Consider the following 17,563-nt stretch of genomic DNA (forward strand, 5'->3'; position numbering starts at 1 on the left):
TAATTCCCTAAAAATGCAGACATTGTTGATGTATATAAAAATTGCCTTTCCCGTGGTTCACTCTGGCTGCAGCTACTTAATATGCAGAGCTGTGTCCAAATCAGTGCTGTCAATATACAAAACACAATGTATTCGAGAATATAGAATAAAACAGTCATATCTGTGAATACAGAGTAAGTCTTTGACATTTCATAAGTTTCATAATATATACATTTCTGGTAGTTAGCATTTTATATTTCCTACTCCCTTGTAATAATTGGAGCATTTGCCTTCATGGTTTATTACATGCCCCTGGGGATATAGTTGCTCTTCAGCCATCTGTGGTCATTCATACTTTTTTTTTTAAGTTCATTTTCAGCCTCTTTATTGTCTTTTTTTTTTAATACTTTAAGTTCTAGGGTACATGTGCACAATGTGCAGGTTTGTTACATAGGTATAGATGTGCCATGTTCGTTTGCTGCACCCATACACTCATCATCTATATTAGGTATTTCTCCTAATGCTATCTGTCTGCCAGCCCCCCGCCTCATGACACGCCCCACTATGTGATGTTCCCTGCCCTGTACATGTGTTCTCATTGTTCAGTTCCCACCTATGAGTGAGAACATGTGGTGTTTGGTTTTCTGTCCTTATGATAGTTTGCTCAGAATGATGGTTTCCGACTGCATTCATGTCCCTGTAAAGGACATGAACTCATCCTTTTTATGGCTGCATAGTATTCCATGGTGTATATGTGCCATATTTTATTAATCCAGTCTATCATTGATGGAGATTTGGGTTGGTTCCAAGTTTTTGCTATTGTGAATAGTGCCCCAGTAAACATACGTGTGCATGTGTCTTCATACTAGCATGATTTATAATCCTTTGGGTTTATACCCAGTAATGGGATCACTGAGTCAAATGGTATTTCTAGTTCTAGATCCTTGAGGAATCACCACACTGTCTTCCACAATGGTTGAACTAATTTACACTCCTGCCAATAGTGTAAAAGTGTTCCTATTTCTCCACATCCTCTGCAGCATCTGTTGTTTCCTGACTTTTTAATGATTGCCATTCTAGCTGGTGTGAGATGGTATCTCATTGTGGTTTTGATTTGCATTTCTCTGATGACCAGTGATGATGAGTATTTTTTCATGTGTCTTTTGGCTGCATACATGTCTTCTTTTGAGAATTGTCTGTTCATATCCTTTGCCCACTTTTTGGTGGGGTTTTTTCTTGTAAATTTGTTTATTTCTAGATTCTGGATATTAGCCCTTTGTCAGATGAGTAGATTGTAACAATTTTCTCCCATTCTGTAGGTTGTCTGTTCACTCTGATGGTAGTTTCTTTTGCCATGCAGAAGCTCCTTAGTTTAATTAGATCCCATTTGTCAATTTTGGCTTCTGTTGCCATTGCTTTTGGTGTTTTAGACATGAAGTCCTTGCCCATGCCTATATCCTGAATGTATTGCCTGGGTTTTCTTCTAGGGTTTTTATGGTTTTGGGTCTTACATTTAAGTCTTTAATCCATCTTGAATTAATTTTTGTATAAGTTGTAAGGATGGGATCCAGTTTCAGCTTTCTACATATGGCTAGCCAGTTTTCCCAGCACCATTTATTAAATAGGAAATCCCTTCCCCATTGCTTGTTTTTGTCAGGTTTGTCAAAGATCAGATGATTGTAGATGTGTGGTGTGATTTCTGAGGGCTCTGTTCTGTTCCATTGGTCTATATCTCTGTTTTGGTACCAGTACCATGCTGTTTTGATTACTGTAGCCTTGTAGTATAGTTTGAAGTCAGGTAGTGTGATGCCTCCAGCTTTGTTCTTCTGGCTTAGGATTGTCTTGGCAATGTGGGCTCTTTTTTGGTTCCATATGAACTTTTAATTTTTTCCAATTCTGTGAAGAAAGTCATTGGTAGCTTGATGGGGATGGCATTCAATCTATAAATTACCTTGGGCAGTATGGCCATTTTCACGATATTGATTCTTCCTATCCATGAGCATGGAATGTTCTTCCATTTGTTTGTGTCCTCTTTTATTTCATTGAGTGGTTGTTTGTAGTTCTCCTTGAAGAGGTCCTTCACATCCCTTGTAATTTGGATTCTTAGGTATTTTATTCTCTTTGAAGCAATTGTGAATGGGAGTTCACTCATGATTTGGCTCTCTGTTTGTCTGTTATTGGTGTATAGGAATGCTTGTGATTTTTGCACATGGATTTTGTATCCCGAGACTTTGCTGAAGTTGCTTATCAGCTTAAGGAGACTTTGGGCTGAGATGATGGGGTGTTCTAGATATACAATCATGTCGTCTGCAAACAGGGACAATTTGACTTCCTCCTTTCCTAATTGAATACCCTTTATTGCTTTCTCTTGACTGATTGCCCTGGCCAGAACTTCCAACACTATGTTGAACAGGAGTGGTGAGAGAGGGCATCCCTGTCTTGTGCCAGTTTTCAAAGGGAATGCTTCCAATTTTTGCCCATTCAGTATGATATTGGCTGTGGGTTTGTCATAAATAGCTCTTATTATTTTGAGATGTGTTCCATCAATACCTAGTGTATTGAGAGTTTTTAGCATGGAGGGCTGTTGAATTTTGTCAAAGGCCTATTCTGCATCTATTGAGATAATCATGTGGTTTTTGTCTTTGGTTCTGTTTATATGATGGATTACGTTCATTGATTTGTGTATGTTGAACCAGCCTTGCATCCCAGGGATGAAGCCGACTTGATATTGGTGGATAAGCTTTTTGATGTGCTGCTGGATTCGGTTTGCCAGTATTTTATTGAGAATTTTTGCATCGATGTTCATCGGGGATATTGGTCTAAAACTCTCTTTTTTTGTTGTGTCTCTGCCAGGCTTTGGTATCAGGATGATGCTGGCCTCATAAAATGAGTTAGGGAGGATTCCCTCTTTTTCTATTGATTGGAATAGTTTCAGACGGAAAGGTACCAGCTCTTCTTTGTACCTCTGGTAGAATTCAGCTGTGAATCTGTCTGGTCCTGGCCTTTTTTTGGTTGGTAGGCTATTATTATTGCCTCCATTTCAGAGCCTGTTAATGGTCTGTTCAGAGATTCAACTTCTTCCTGGTTTAGTCTTGGGAGGGTGTATGTGTCGAGGAATTTATCCATTTCTTCTAGATTTTCTAGTTTGTTTGTGTAGAGGTGTTTACAGTATTCTCTGATGGTAGTTTGTATTTCTGTGGGATTGGTGGTGATATCCCCGTTATCATTTTTTATTGCGTCTATTTGATTCTTCTCTCTCTTCTTATTAGTCTTGCTAGAGGTCTACCAATTTTGTTGATCTTTTCAAAAAACCAGCTCCTGGATTCATTGATTTTTGAAGGGTTTTTTATGTCTCTGTCTCCTTCAGTTCTGCTCTGATCTTAGTTATTTCTTGCTTTCTGCCAGCTTTTAAATTTGTTTGCTCTTGCTTCTCTAGTTCTTTTAATTGTGATGTTAGGGTGTTGACTTTAGATCTTTCCTGCTTTCTCTTGTGGGCATTCAGTGCTGTAAATTTCCCTCTACACACTGCTTTAAATGTGTCCCAGAGATTCTGGTACATTGTGTCTTGGTTCTCATTGGTTTCAAATAACATCTTTATTTCTGCCTTCATTTCATTATTTACCCAGTGGTCATTCAGGAGCAGGTTGTTCAATTTCCATGTAGTTGTGTGGTTTTGAGTGAGTTTCTTAATCCTGAGCTCTAATTTGGTTGCACTGTGGTCTGAGAAACAGTTTGTTGTAATTTCTGTTTAAACCATTCATTCAGCAGGCACTTACTTTGTGCCAGCATTGTTATAATTCACCATTTTCTTAATGCTAAACCCTTAGAGTCCCAAAACTGTCTCACAAGCTCCCCTGAGCAGGTAGGGGCTGGCCTCTACCAAGTCTTCACATGTTGCCCCTCCTTGCACCCCAGGATGGAAGTTTGGTTTCCTTACTGGGATGCCCCATAGCACTTTATTCTTGTAAGACATTTATCACTCTCTGCTTTGCACTAAAAGTGCTCTGCTGAGATCTGAAGAGTATTTGTGATGTGTGTATGTAATACATATTTGTATTAACGGCTTTGAGTTCTAAAGTGTAGATGTTTTTCCCATTTCTAACCAGATGACACATTTTTGAGAGCACAATCTATCTGATTTATTACCGACAGTTAGTAATGTTGTGGGGAATTTAAAAATACACTTAAAAATGTGTACTTAAAAAACAGTATATGCTATGCCAATAATTGTTGGGTAAGTGAAGATTATTGAAACATAGTCTGTTATTAGCCCACTAAATGTGAGAATTCCTTTTTCTGCTCCACTTTTCATTACTAGTTTATACACAACAGATGTGGCAACATTTCATTACTAGTTTATAATACAGCTAGATGAGGAGAAAGCCAGTCCCTCCAAAGTTAGAGATATGAGAATCCCCTGAAAGTAGATTTTAGTGCATTTGCATATTAACAAAGAGACGCTCATGGAAACATCCAAGGTGAATCCAGCATCCAACTGTTGTTACATACGTTGTGGTTGTTAACCACAAAAATCTTGTAAAATAAATTTGAATCACTTGTATTACATTGCAGTTCTACTGAAAATACTTGATAGCAATACACCTCAAAGTTTGAATATTTGATTTCTTCAAAACACTTGGCAGGACAGTAATTGAATTGGGCGTGATATCGATTGCTTAAAAGCCTAACAAGAAGAAGGCAGTTTCCAAGATGACAGTGGCCTTAAGAGTGTCATACAGGAAACCAGCTGTCATGTGCTTAGCTTCAGGGAGAATACGCTGGAGCAAGAAGCACGAGGACTCCTGGGACTCACTGTGGACACTGTGTACTCAGTCACTCGAGGAAAGGTGCCGTGATGTTTCTGTAGGACTTCCGCCCAATGGTAAGATCTGGGATTCATCATCCTAGCTGAATAGAGTCATGTTAACTGTTGGGGTTATCCTGGACTTGATAAACCTGTTCTGAAAGCTGACTTTGACCTCTGTCTTCATAACTGGTTTGTAAGGTCCAAAGACACTAAAACAGCCAGCACACCTTTTGTGCACTAAGAATCTTTCACATCTATCAATCACGGGCCACCTCCCCTCGCATGTTTATGTGCTACGTTAGTATGGATCCATGGAGGAAGGTGACATGCTCTCAGCTATGTTGTGGCAGTAGCCATGGGCTGCTGTTGCAATGACAGGGAGCTATAAACTGTGATCCATAGGATATACTTTGCAGCTAGTTGCAGCTCAGTATATAAGTTGGCTTTGGTGACTTTTTTTGGGAAAAGAGAGGGTTCAGTGGTGAAAGAAACATCATTAAAAGGTTGACCCAGGGGTCTAGTATTGCGGCTGGTTAGACATAAAAGCCAGAACTCCTGCATTATAACATGTAATCAAAGAGTTGAGTTTCTGTTAATTCATAGAGAAAACTCATAGCAGTCTTGGAGTGATATTTTGGGTGGATATTGAGTTTTAAGTCCTGCATTCATCAATAAAACCGTAATTTTATAAAAGTGGAAGACTTGTGAATATTCAAGCATTTTTTGACAGAAAGTACAGTTTATATCTGTGCACATGTGTGCCCAATGTAAGTCTGTCCTCAAGTTATCCACTGGCATCACCCAGGTCCCTTACTTCCTTCCCTTATGCGTTGTTTGTAACAATTTTGCTGCCAATTAAACATGTCTACCAGTGTGTAGTCAAGAGCAAAGAATATAAAACAAAGATCATTAGTGTTACTTCTTGTAAAATATTTACTTTTTGCTAAAGATCTATTACTTAAAATGAGTTTCTAAGTGGGTTTTAATTATTGTTACTTCTCTATTTGTCCCAGTTTTTACAAGGTAGGTTGTCTTTTCAGGAGAGCAAAAGCCTAGCATGTAAGAGAGTAGAATATCAAGGGAAGGAAATACGGACATATTTTCATCCCAGTGAAGGCTAAATTAGCTCAAGAGCACAACCAAGGGATACAAATTAAGAACCTTCATAATTCAGCAAATGTGGGCAATAAAGGTAGAATCCTGGAAATCAGCCTGATCGTGAATACTCAAAGGATTATGTATTAAACAAGACAGGGCCCAATGAAATTGTCTTTGTGTTAGAAATTTTCAATTGCAGAAAGTTACAGCTCATTCAAGACCTAATATCCATAATGCAGTCTGACAGCAGCAAAATCACTCCACCGGCAAAAGACTTAAATGAAAAGCAATGCTAAATGCCTGCCTAGGAGAAAAAGTGACACAGTGTTACATAATCACACGTCCAAAGGGTATCATAGAAAGCAAAACAGGGCCACCAAATGGACCCTTAGGCCTTTGCTCATGATGCACCCAAAATATTAGTCATTCATGCAGTGAAATTGCTTTGTTTTAAGCACCAATAGAGTTTCTTGACCTCAAAACAGGATAAATAACGATTCAGGATAATCTAAGAGGTGATGGTGGTGGTGATCTGTATCAGAAGCTACACTAATATGAGCAGGGATGGCAGCAATGTTTGGTCAAATTGAGTCATGAAAATTCCATTGATTAAATACTCCTGTTATGTTTGAAAACATAAAACTATAAAGAGCTTAAAGACAGCTGTAGTACATGTGTCCTCTACTTTAGAACGCTAGCATCATTTCATCGTAAAATGGGAAAGCAGGAAACATAAAAGTCTAGGAAAGAAGGCAAACACATCTAACTTCTCCCGAAGAGATCTTTGGATCCACAAGGAACCATTAAAGAAGAGGACAACCAGGTAGAGTAACAGATTGTTAGAGCCTTGAGTTGAAGATGTCAGGAACCTACATTTCTTACTTTAGAATGGAATTCTTTAAACAGAATCCTGAAAGCTAGAGACATTCAAATACTGCTCTCTCTCCCATTGAATCATTGATCTTTTTGATCCAAAAGCATATGCCGTGGGACCAAGAAGAAGAAGAAACATTCGAGGTGGTTCTTTACTTTTCACAGTTTAGAGGCCTGTGCAGTGCTCCTGCAACTAATGGTAATAACTGTGGTCATTGTAAAGGGAAAGTTGTACATACGTATACAAGATAGGGAATGTGTTACTAATGTCAGAACAAAATCACAAACATCAATACTTAAAAACAAAGGGGAAATAATACACATTAAGCCTAATCTGATACATATAATCTCATTTAATCCTCAGTACAATCCAGTATCACTCCGCTTTGTAGGGGAAATCTGAGTCTGAAAACAGCTGAGTAAATTCCTGTGGCGGCCCTTCCCAGCCTTGCACACCTATCACCTTGGCCTGACTTTGGGGTCTCTGCTGACCCAGACTCTCTTCCCTGGAGTTCTAGTAAAAGGTACAGCTTCTTACAGAAGAAGGTAATTCCTCTGGACTGAACCTACAAAGGACTTTGAAGTCTTTAAAGACTGTCCCCTCCCCAGCTTAGCAGATGTTAAGCAGAGGCTGAAACACTTGACACTTAGCCAGCAAATTTGGTTGTATTTTTTTACAGTTGTCTTTCGTTTGTCACAAATAGGTTCTCTTTGTATTTGTGGCTGGAATTCCGTATTATTGTATACTTTGCATAGACTGTAAATGACTAGCATAGCGATATTTGTAAATATTTTACTAAGAATATAATTATACTCTTCTAAAGAGAAGAGGATCGCCGTCCTTCCCTTCCTTGTGCCTGAATGAATCCCCAGCAAAGGCCTGTTGCAGCAAAGCTAAGGGATTAGAGGAGATAAATAACACAGTGGCAGCATCTGCCTGAGGGTGCAAAGGGGCAGGGGCCCTGCAGGAGGAACGTTGGCCTCTCCCCGTGTTTTGTGAATCTAACGTTACTACTTAGGTGAGTTTGGATTCTGTAGTTGCGCATCTTCACAGTAAAAAGTGGTGGAGTTGCTAAGGGCGGATGAGTGTGGCCTCAGAAGACTCATCCCCCTGGGAACTTTCGGTAGCCACAGGGAAGGCTTGCATAGAATTAGGTCTTGCCTGATCAAAGCCTTGGAGCTGCTGGGTGATTGGACATGGACTGTGTTCTCCCTAGGCATCTTGTGCTTGTCCTTCCAGTGCTGATTGTCCTCGGCGGTGCCCATAGGTGACTCTGTCTTCCGTACCAGGGCTGTTCTGTGGAGCCACAGACTGTGTGCCTCTCTGTTACCGCTGTCTCCAGCACCTTGAAGGGTGCATCTGCTGCTCACAGACCTTCAGTAAGTTCCTGCTGAGTGAATGAACACACGCTTGTTTGTAAGGATTAGTGCTTCTGTTGGCAGTGGGATTTGAGAAGCAGGGCACGAGGAGAGAGCAAGGAACACCCGGGAACCTACCCTCCCTCAGCCTCCACCTTGTTAGAGTTCCTCCTGATAGGAAGTGGCAGGGAAATGCAGTGAATCTAAGGAGGGGCACGTGTCTATCTTTCTGATTGAAACACTTTTCTTTTCTGTAATTGAAATAGCTGTGGCCGCTGGCTTGAGAAAATATCCCCTACCTTGCAGTGTCTAGCATCAATGCTGTTTAAAATCTTAGATCTTCGCATGGCCCTCAAATACCAGTGTTTGCACCTTCACAAAATCCTTAAAGGTTAGTCTTGTAGATGGGTGTTAGGTTGACTTGATGCTCTGAGAGGCTGAGCGACACCCTGAGGAAAAAATGCTGCTTTGGTCCCGACTCCCTGTGTTTTTCCTCCTGAGAAGTCTCTGGTCCTGACCAGCTCTGGCATCATGTGCCGATGCTGTTTAATGCTCTCTCTTAACTTAAAATACTGCCGTGGGGTTCTCCAGCAGTGCCACTGATGTCTCAGTACTTGTTTTAAAATAATTTATATGCAGCGTCTATATTAACCTGCACACCTCTTTTTAGCAATTTCTCCCTTCCCTGACAAGTCTTTTCTCGTACATGACGTGAAATAGTGGAGGGCAGAGGCCCAGGCCAAGTGCATGGCTCATGCATTATGTTTCTTTTGGTTTGTCAAAAAACCATTGAATGTCTGTGAAACGTGCATTTCCTCTAAACTCCACTCTAGTTCAACACTTAGCTAACAGATTTTCTAAAAATTAAAGCAATTGTATCAATGCCTATGAAATATGCTACAGGAAAGACCCTTGCCTTTCTGTGAAATACTGTCTTCTAAATAGCCACCGTCATTTGTGCCTCCTGCTCAAGAGAGGGATGTCAATTTTGAGTCCTAGAGTCAGGGGTACTCTGAGCTACACTTAGTCCTTTTCTCATTCATCCTCCCTTTATGAAATCCATCATTACTGCTCCCCCACATTTTGGGCAAATTGCATGGGCATCCCTGACTAATGAATTTTTCCTGGAGTCCTAGAGGCAAAGGGATAGGGCTAGCACTTGTCAAGGTATGGTCTGAGGTCTGTAAATAATGTGTATGGCCTGGGCGGTGGTGGGGAAGGGTACAGATTCTAGCATCTCACTCTAGACCTGCTGAATCAGACTCTCTGGGGTGGAGCCTAGGATTGGCAGTTGGACCACACTCATGAGTAACTCATGGCCCTTTGAGAATAGTTACGTCCATTCAGCAAATATTTACTGGTGGACTATAATATACAGGCACTTGGCTAGATGGTGGGAATATAGGGATGTACAAAAACAGATGCAGAACCTGAGTATGCTGCTTTATACTTACTGAGAAATGCAATTCAACCTTGGATTGGAAGGTTCAGAAAGACAACTGGAAACCTGGGATGGAGATTTTCAATCAACTAGCCAAATAGCAAATATTTATTCAGTTCTCAGGAGAAAGGTACTATGCTGACTACTTGAGATGATAGAGAATATAGCATGGTTCCTGGGCTCTGAGGATCTTATATTCTGGCTGGGAAAACAGCATATGAAAAGTTAAACTTGGCCGGGCCCGGTGGCTCACACCTGTAATCCCAGCACTCTGGGAGGCTGAAGTGGGTGGATCACCTGAGGTCAGGAGTCGAGACTGGCCTGCCCAACGTGGCGAAACTCCATCTTTACTAAAAATAAGAAAAAATTAGCCAGGCATGGTGGCAGGCACCTGTAATCCCAGTCACTCAGGAGGCTGAGACAGGAGAATTACTTTAACCTGGGAGGCGGAGGTTGCAGTGAGCTGAGATTGCTCCACTGCATTCCAGCCTGGGCAACAAGAGCGAAACTCCATCTCAAAAATAAATAAATTAATAGATAAATAAATATAAAGAAAAAAACGAAGTTAAACGATAGCAGACAAACCTGGTTAATTGCTAAGTGAGTAAGGCTAACAATAACAGTGTTCCGGCTGTCACTAGCTCTTCACCGAATGTCTCCTTCCACCTCAATTTTCCCACATCCTGATTCCATCCTACTTCTAGTGTTTTGTTATTTTAATATTTATAATTTAAACATCACTATTAGGATGTTACAATTTGCTGCCGTAAGGTATTTGGAATTTTTGAAACACAGGCCACCTCTGCTTCAGATGGCATATCATTCTGCTGACTTAATATTATCCAACCATAAAGCAAAGGTGAATTTCTAATTACTTAGAAATATATTCAGTTAAAATAAGCTTTTTTTCTTTTTCAAAATGCTATCTAATTTAAATACATACATATATGTGTATATGTGACTATATGGCATATATGTAAGATTATATATGTATATACCTATGTATGTATGCACATGCACATGTGAAAAGTGTACAGCTTGGAAAATACAATGTGATATCAGAATAAAGTAAGGAAAAGTTATGGTGTAAGAGCTTTTTGGATCATTTGAAATGTTAGAGATTGCTGTAGGTTGGCTTTCTAAAGTAGACCAGAAGATCCTCGCTTGGGAGTTCTGGAGTCAATAGAGTAGAGTTAGAAATGTTCTATTTAATACTTTTCAGTAGATCTTCTGGAGTTAGCCCTCTGTGACTTAAATAGTTGGAAATTAAGGCATATTCTTTGGGAGTTGGATGCATATAAATTCCAGAGGGTGGAAGCCGTGTTAGTACAATGCTGTGGGTAAGAGCTTTGGTTTTAGAGTCAGATGGTTTTGTGTACATGTGTGTACTCTGACTATATTGTGTGGCCACAGGACTTAAATTTCTTAGACTCAGTTTTCTCTTCTATAAAATGGCCTGAGTAATAGTACTTATCTGATAGGGATATAGAAAATGTTAAATAGATGTTAAGCACTTACCCAAAGTCTGGCATACATTAAGCACTCCATTATTGACTCTCATTACATCATCATCATTTTCTCAGTTAGTTAAAAGAGCCTACTGCGTGTATATTAATTTGCCTTTCCCTGAAAAGTACGACAAATTCAGCTCCACAGAGTAACTTACTGTCCTTTTTAAATACCATTTCTGTGTGGATCTCAGCAATTGTGTAAACTTTTAAAAACAGAATTATCCATATTCTTTCAGTGATTGAAAATTATAGAATTTGGAGCCAAGCTTCAAGTGTTCCCTTGTAATGTGTACCCAAAGAGGAGAATCTGACTGTACGTTGTTTAGTCATTCATAGCATGTATACCAACCAGTGTTTGTTCAATTTAGGATGGTAAAAATAATTTGCACAGTTTGTTAATTGTGCCCCAATAAAAATGGGGGAAAAACAGATTTAGATGATAGATGAATTTTGGCTTGGAATATAGACCTAATTAATTATATTTTTTAGACACAAATTTAAAGTTATTTCTAGCACATTAAAATAAACAAAATTAGCACAATGTGAAACTATATGGAAACAGAATATAGCAATTTCCATAAGAGACTTTGAAATACTGACAGTAATGATTATGGAATTTTCATTTCCCAGCAGCTGCCATTTCTTGGAGATGTTTACATATTAAATATTAGATCATTTCTAAAAAATAAACTGAGACACGTAAATGGAATTATTTTTTATCCTGAGGCTCAGACTAAAGTCCCAGAGTATGACATTTCCTGGGCATTTTCTCTGTAGCTCTCAACTGTCCCAGCCTTCGGTTGCAGCACAGAGAGCTTCTGAGTGGCCATTGCTGTTCAAGACGGTACAGCTTTTCCATGCTTGTCCTGGGTCTCTTCCTTGACAGACTTATTTTATTCATTCTGTGTTTACACACCGACAGCTATGACACACACAGGATCGGGATACTCTGCTGGGTGCTATGGTGCAAACTCGCAAAGAATTTATCATCGAACAGTAAAAAGATGAGCCTGAAAACATACTGCCAAACGTTTACTTTTAGAAGACTGGGGGCAGGTGTCATGAACTGGCTTTGTTTATTGTATTTCAAATCTTGTTTTCTTTAAAGAAGCCAAGATGCTAAAATGAGTGGCATGTGTTCAGTAGGAAATCATCTCTCGTGTGTGTTAAACAGAGCAGTGTTCTCCCTCCTAAACAATTTATAATGATGTAAGATGGAACCTTGGGTGCTGTGACTGAAAACGGCCATAAATTATCAAGTGTAAGTGGGAAAGTTGGTGCTTACCATTTAACTTGAGCCTGGAACATACTGAAGGCATTAAGTGCAGTGGTATGTGACTGAACTGATGGGAGTTAATATGTAATTACTGTTTTTTACAGTACAGTTATGGCAATTATATTTATTCTATTTTTTGGAAAGTACATATAATGTAATTATAATTAATAACTGCAAAGATAGGCTCAATTACTTAAGTCATGAAAGTGAATTACCTTAATCATACTGAGAATTTTTCAGCCGCCCTGTATAAAGAATATCTATGGAAACAGTAATGCTCTGGAGAATGTTACTTGTAAGGAAACTGAAATAAATAAATGTGGAGTTTATGCTGAAATGAGTAGTTTTAAACAATGAAGAAAACTATCAGAATTTTATAGCTTGCTACTATCTTTAAATCCTTTTACATAGTGCATGAATCATCATGCTTTCATTGTAAATTTAAAATTTTAAATGAAATTTCAAGAAACATTGTCTTTGCAAAACACAGTTCTAAATAGTTGAAAAGAGTGAGGAAAGAAATTCTGTTAAAATTCAGGATTATTTTTGAACCCTTGATTGACTTTCGAGGAATATTTTAAACTGTCTAGAAAACTTTGCATTATTATTTATGGTATTATGTGCTAAATAAAAGGGGCCATATCAGTGTTTTCTTATAAATAGTTTAGTTACTTTTGGGGATGAAACTTCCATATAGATTATGTGATTTTTATGTAAAAATGTAACCTACAAGGAAGGTATCGCTCAAGCTTGTGAGTTATTTGAGTGCAATTAATGTATACATCTTTCCATTATTAGTCTATTTTAGGTAACACTTTTAAAGAGTTTAACTCTTCCTTCTTACCTACCCCCTGCTATCTGATGACTTGCCTTATGCTTCTTCTAAATTTTAGTTGCACAAATACCTATTCTTTACCTCTCCCCGTTTCCTTTCCCAGTACCCTAAAGTAGACCACATCATTCAGTTTTTTTTTTTTTTTATTCAGCAAACACCCCCTCAGGTCATCTCAACAAACCTCTCAATTCTGCCTCTCTCATCGGCTCATTTCTCTTCGTCTCCACTGTTAATATGGTAGAGTAAGCCATCTTCAATTTCTCACTTGCGTTATTTTCCAGGAGGTTCAAACCGGAAATGGTTTCGTGGGATTTCATTTAAAGTAAAATAGACATTTTTAGTTTTTGAGAGATGGTGAGCCAACTTTTATCTTTTGAGAAACTGCCTCTGCTCAATCAGTTAGTCAGAAGTACCTAACCGTAACTAAATTTGCCTTAAAAGAAATCTGGTTGGTATATTTTCACTCTTCCCCAATTATAGGTACCCAAAAGGGCAAGAATTATATTAGATTTCATCTTTTGATGTTGGTTTTTGTTTTTGTTTTGTTTAGGAGACGGGTTCTCAATCTGTCGCCCATGTTCGGTGCAGTAGCGCAATCATAGCTCACTGCAGCCTTGAACTCCTGGCCTCCGGTGATCCTTCCATCTCACCCTCCCAGGTAGCTGGGATTACAGGAGTGAGTCACCATGCCCAACTCCGTCTTTAGACATTTAAGTGCCCCATTTCAACTATCTGGTATGCTTCTCTGTGAAATACTGTAGGTGTGCAATAGTCACCCGTCCATCCACCTTTAGCGTCATGTAGCTCTTCTGTGTTTGTATTTATGTAGACAAGACTTACTGTATTTTATGAGCATGTGAATTTTTAATTATGAATAAGTTTTGGTATATTGGAAAAAAGTACACAATACTGTATTTGCTTTGTCACTTATAAATTTCGCTATTTAAGATTTAATACTCTCAAATTTGTTAAATTAGAACAATTTTTAGGATAGTGCCAGTCACTTATTTGTATTAAAAATAAGGGTTAGGCGCAGTGACTCATGCCTGTAATCCCAGCACTTTGGGAGACCAAGGTGGGAAGGATTGCTTGAGCCCGAGATTTCAAGACCAGCCCGGGCAACACAGCAAGAACCCATCTCTACAAAAAATTTAAAAATTAGCCAGGCATGATGGAGTGCGCCTGTATTCCCAGTTACTTGGGAGGCTGACATGGGAAGGTCGCTTGCGCCGGGGGTGTTGAGGCTACAGTGAGCGTGATCACACCACTGCCCTCCAGCCTGCGTGACAGAAGGAGACCCTGTCTTAAAAAAATAAAGCATAGTTGCTAACTTTTGTGTATTCGTAGAGTCATTCATTGAGTACAATTTTTTGAACACTCACCACATGCCGGGCGCTGTGCTCAGGTCTGAGAATGAAACTCTGAATGCTTGACTCCTTTGTGGGGAAGCTCTTGTCTAAGTCATTATGTGGAGCTGAGGTTCCTAGCACAGTGCCCCCTAACCTATGCTGGGGTTACTGGATGGAGCAGAATAGTTCCCTGAGAAGTGTTGTGAAGTTAAATAGGATTTGGCAAAAGGAATAAAGGCAAGGGGCAGTCCCCACGATGGAGGACATTGGAAGGGTGAGTTCAGCACATTTGAGGACCAGGGGGCCGACCAGTCAGGAGCAGAGACTCGGAGGGGTAGGATGGGAAGAGTGAGGCTATAAAATAAGCCACAAGAAAGCTCCTGAAAAGCCTTCATTATTCTGAAAGGCTTGAAGAGTACCTACAGGAACTGTAAAAGATTTTAAGGACCTGGTGCAACAGAAGCAGATTGACGTTCTTGGAAGATTTTTCTGGGGGAGCCAAGTGGAAAACACATTTGTGTGGTCTAGACTAGACAACCTGGGGTGGGGAAGAATACAAAAGCAACAGTCCTCAGTTCCTCAGGCCCTTCACTGTTGACTTTGAAGTGCAGACTAATCAATCATTGCATGTTTATTTAGTTCCTGTTTCATGGTGATGTGCCTTGATAGATAAGGCTGAAAATTCAGAGAACTGTTAGACCTGGTTCCTGCCCTCAAGACATTTAGTCTAGTTGGGAGGAAAGATAAAAACATAATGTATGGTATGTAGTGTTTCAATAGCGTGCACAGTAGTTTCACATATAGTATCTGTTTTAATCCTTGAAACAACTGTAATCTATCACATTATTGCAGCTGACATATTATTAATGAGAGACTGTAGCTTAGATGAAGTCATGTCCTGTAGCCCTCTTTATAAGTAATGAAGATAACGACTGCAAACAAGGTCTTTGGACTCCTTGGCAAGATGCCTTCCCACGACATCATACTTTCCCACTTGTTAAGTAATACCTTAACCAGGTAGCTGCCTGAGATGAAAACATCTGAGATTGCATAAAGTGTGACTGCCCATCAGATGGCTTACATAGATGACAATGTGGTACGTTTAGAGAAGAATTGATCACTGTATCTTGAATGATAACTTGTTTCTTGATGGGAGCAAATTCTGATTTGGAAACGAATTCTAGGGCGCAGAAGTGAATGAAGTGTCCAGAGGCAGACAACAGGGTGGAAGAGTTTGTGCCCTATGGTTCTTATGGGGGAAAATAGGGTAAGAACTGAAAGTATCAGTTGGATCCAGTGGTGAAGAACTTTGGAGTGACGATTAAAAGTGGATGGGCTGGGCTGGGCTGGGCGCGGTGGCTCACGCCTGTAATCCCAGCACTTTGGGAGGCCGAGGCAGGCAGATCACGAGGTCAGGAGATCGAGACCATCCTGGCTAACACAGTGAAACCCCATCTCTACTAAAAATACAAAAAAATTAGCATGGCATGGTGGCGGCGCCTGTAATCCCAGCTACTCGGGAGGCTGAGGCAGGAGAATGGCGTGAACCCGGGAGGTAGGGCTTGCAGTGAGCCGAGATCATGCCACTGCGGTCCAGCCTGGGTGACAGAGCGAGACGCTGTCTCAAAAAAAAAAAAAAAAAAAAGCAGATGGGCTGTCATAAAGAGATTAATGACCACAGGATCCGAGAAATACACACCTGTAGTTAGGAAAAAGAACTCAGTAGTGGTGCGTGGAATGAATGGGAAGGTAAGTCGTAAGGCCAGGTAGTTAGGAAGAGATTCTGGTAGAGCCAAGGTCTGTCCTCCCTCCACTGGGGGGACTCAGTCCCCTCGTGATTCTTCTGTCCTCCCTCCACTGGGGTTACTCAGTCCCCTCGTGATTCTTCTGTCCTCCCTCCACTGGGGGAACTCACTCCCCTCGTGATTCTTCTGTCCTCCCTCCACTGGGGGGACTCACTCCCCTTGTGATTCTTCTGTCCTCCCTCCACTGGGGGGACTCACTCCCCTCGTGATTCTTCTGTCCTCCCTCCACTGGGGAATCTCGCTCCCCTCGTGCTTCTTCCTCTCCTCCTGTTGTCCTCTTTTTCCTTTGTGTGCCTGTAATGGACACTTTTCCATTCCATATCTCTTGGGTTTTGGAGATGGTAAAAATGTTCTTCCTTATCCCACCAATTCTTAATAGGCTTCTGTCACCTTTTCACAGTTCTAATATCCAGTTTAATGAAATATCTTGCTGTTCTTTAATCATCATGATTCTGGTTTGTTGGAAATCGGCAAACCCTTGAAATGCTAGAGACTTGTAGAAAAACAAATTCACTTTGTTTCAGGCCCTAGGGACTTGACCATTGCAGCTTAAGATCGCCATATGTGTGCTTCCTCTCACTTCAAGTTCCGGTTTTGTCTGACTGACGGACCCTTCCAGGCCAGACAGTTGCTGCCATTCATGCCTTCCTGACTTCATCTGCATTTGGAATGATTTCCACCCCAGAAGAATTAGTTGGATGTTTTCTACTATGCATACCATTGCTTTCCTCTTCCCTTATTTGTAGTTTCTTGCATATCTCACGTTGAGAACTTCAGGCCCCCACACAGTTTAACGTGCCCTGCAATATTTTATGCTTATTTCGCTATTTCAAAATGGCTACCAAAGGCACCAGTCTTAGTATAGACCTTGCATTAACCTTTTCAGTGTTCTGCCAAGCATCTACGTTAGAAAGTCTCTAGACATATATTTGCATTTATTCTCATCTTTTATTAAAATACATTTCTTTTCAAAGTTTATACCTGACTTAAATTGTTTTTCAGAGTGGTAAATGTCTTTACTTTATTCTTCAAAAAGGAAACAAATAAAATGCACAGACCTGAAGGAGACAGCTCTTTAAATATTGTATATTCCCAGCACTGCTGTGTATCAGTGCTGCCACTCAATTGGCTGAGAAAGCTGCTTGGCATTTCTGCAGTTAATGCTTTGCTAGTGGTACATTTTCTTTTCATTTTTGGGTTCACTCTCTAGGCCTCTGGTTGGTTAATATG

The 17,563-nt window shown here is 40.1% G+C and overlaps 1 protein-coding gene across 60 annotated transcripts in view; it reads left to right on the plus strand.

Annotated features, from left to right (window-relative positions):
* The window catches only part of CELF2 (CUGBP Elav-like family member 2), an 874,126-nt gene that overhangs the window by 663,981 nt on the left and 192,582 nt on the right, over positions 1-17,563 (plus strand). Inside the window, exon 2 of one of the 60 annotated variants that reach the window (NM_001326334.2) lies at positions 13,730-13,914. The exons of the other annotated variants lie outside the window; for them this stretch is intronic. The gene's annotated coding sequence lies outside the window, so the exon portion shown is untranslated. The remainder of the gene's footprint in view (positions 1-13,729; positions 13,915-17,563) is intronic. 60 annotated transcript variants of the gene reach the window in all.

This window comes from Homo sapiens, chromosome 10 (assembly GCF_000001405.40).
Source record: "Homo sapiens chromosome 10, GRCh38.p14 Primary Assembly".
In the NCBI taxonomy this organism is placed as follows: domain Eukaryota; kingdom Metazoa; phylum Chordata; class Mammalia; order Primates; family Hominidae; genus Homo; species Homo sapiens.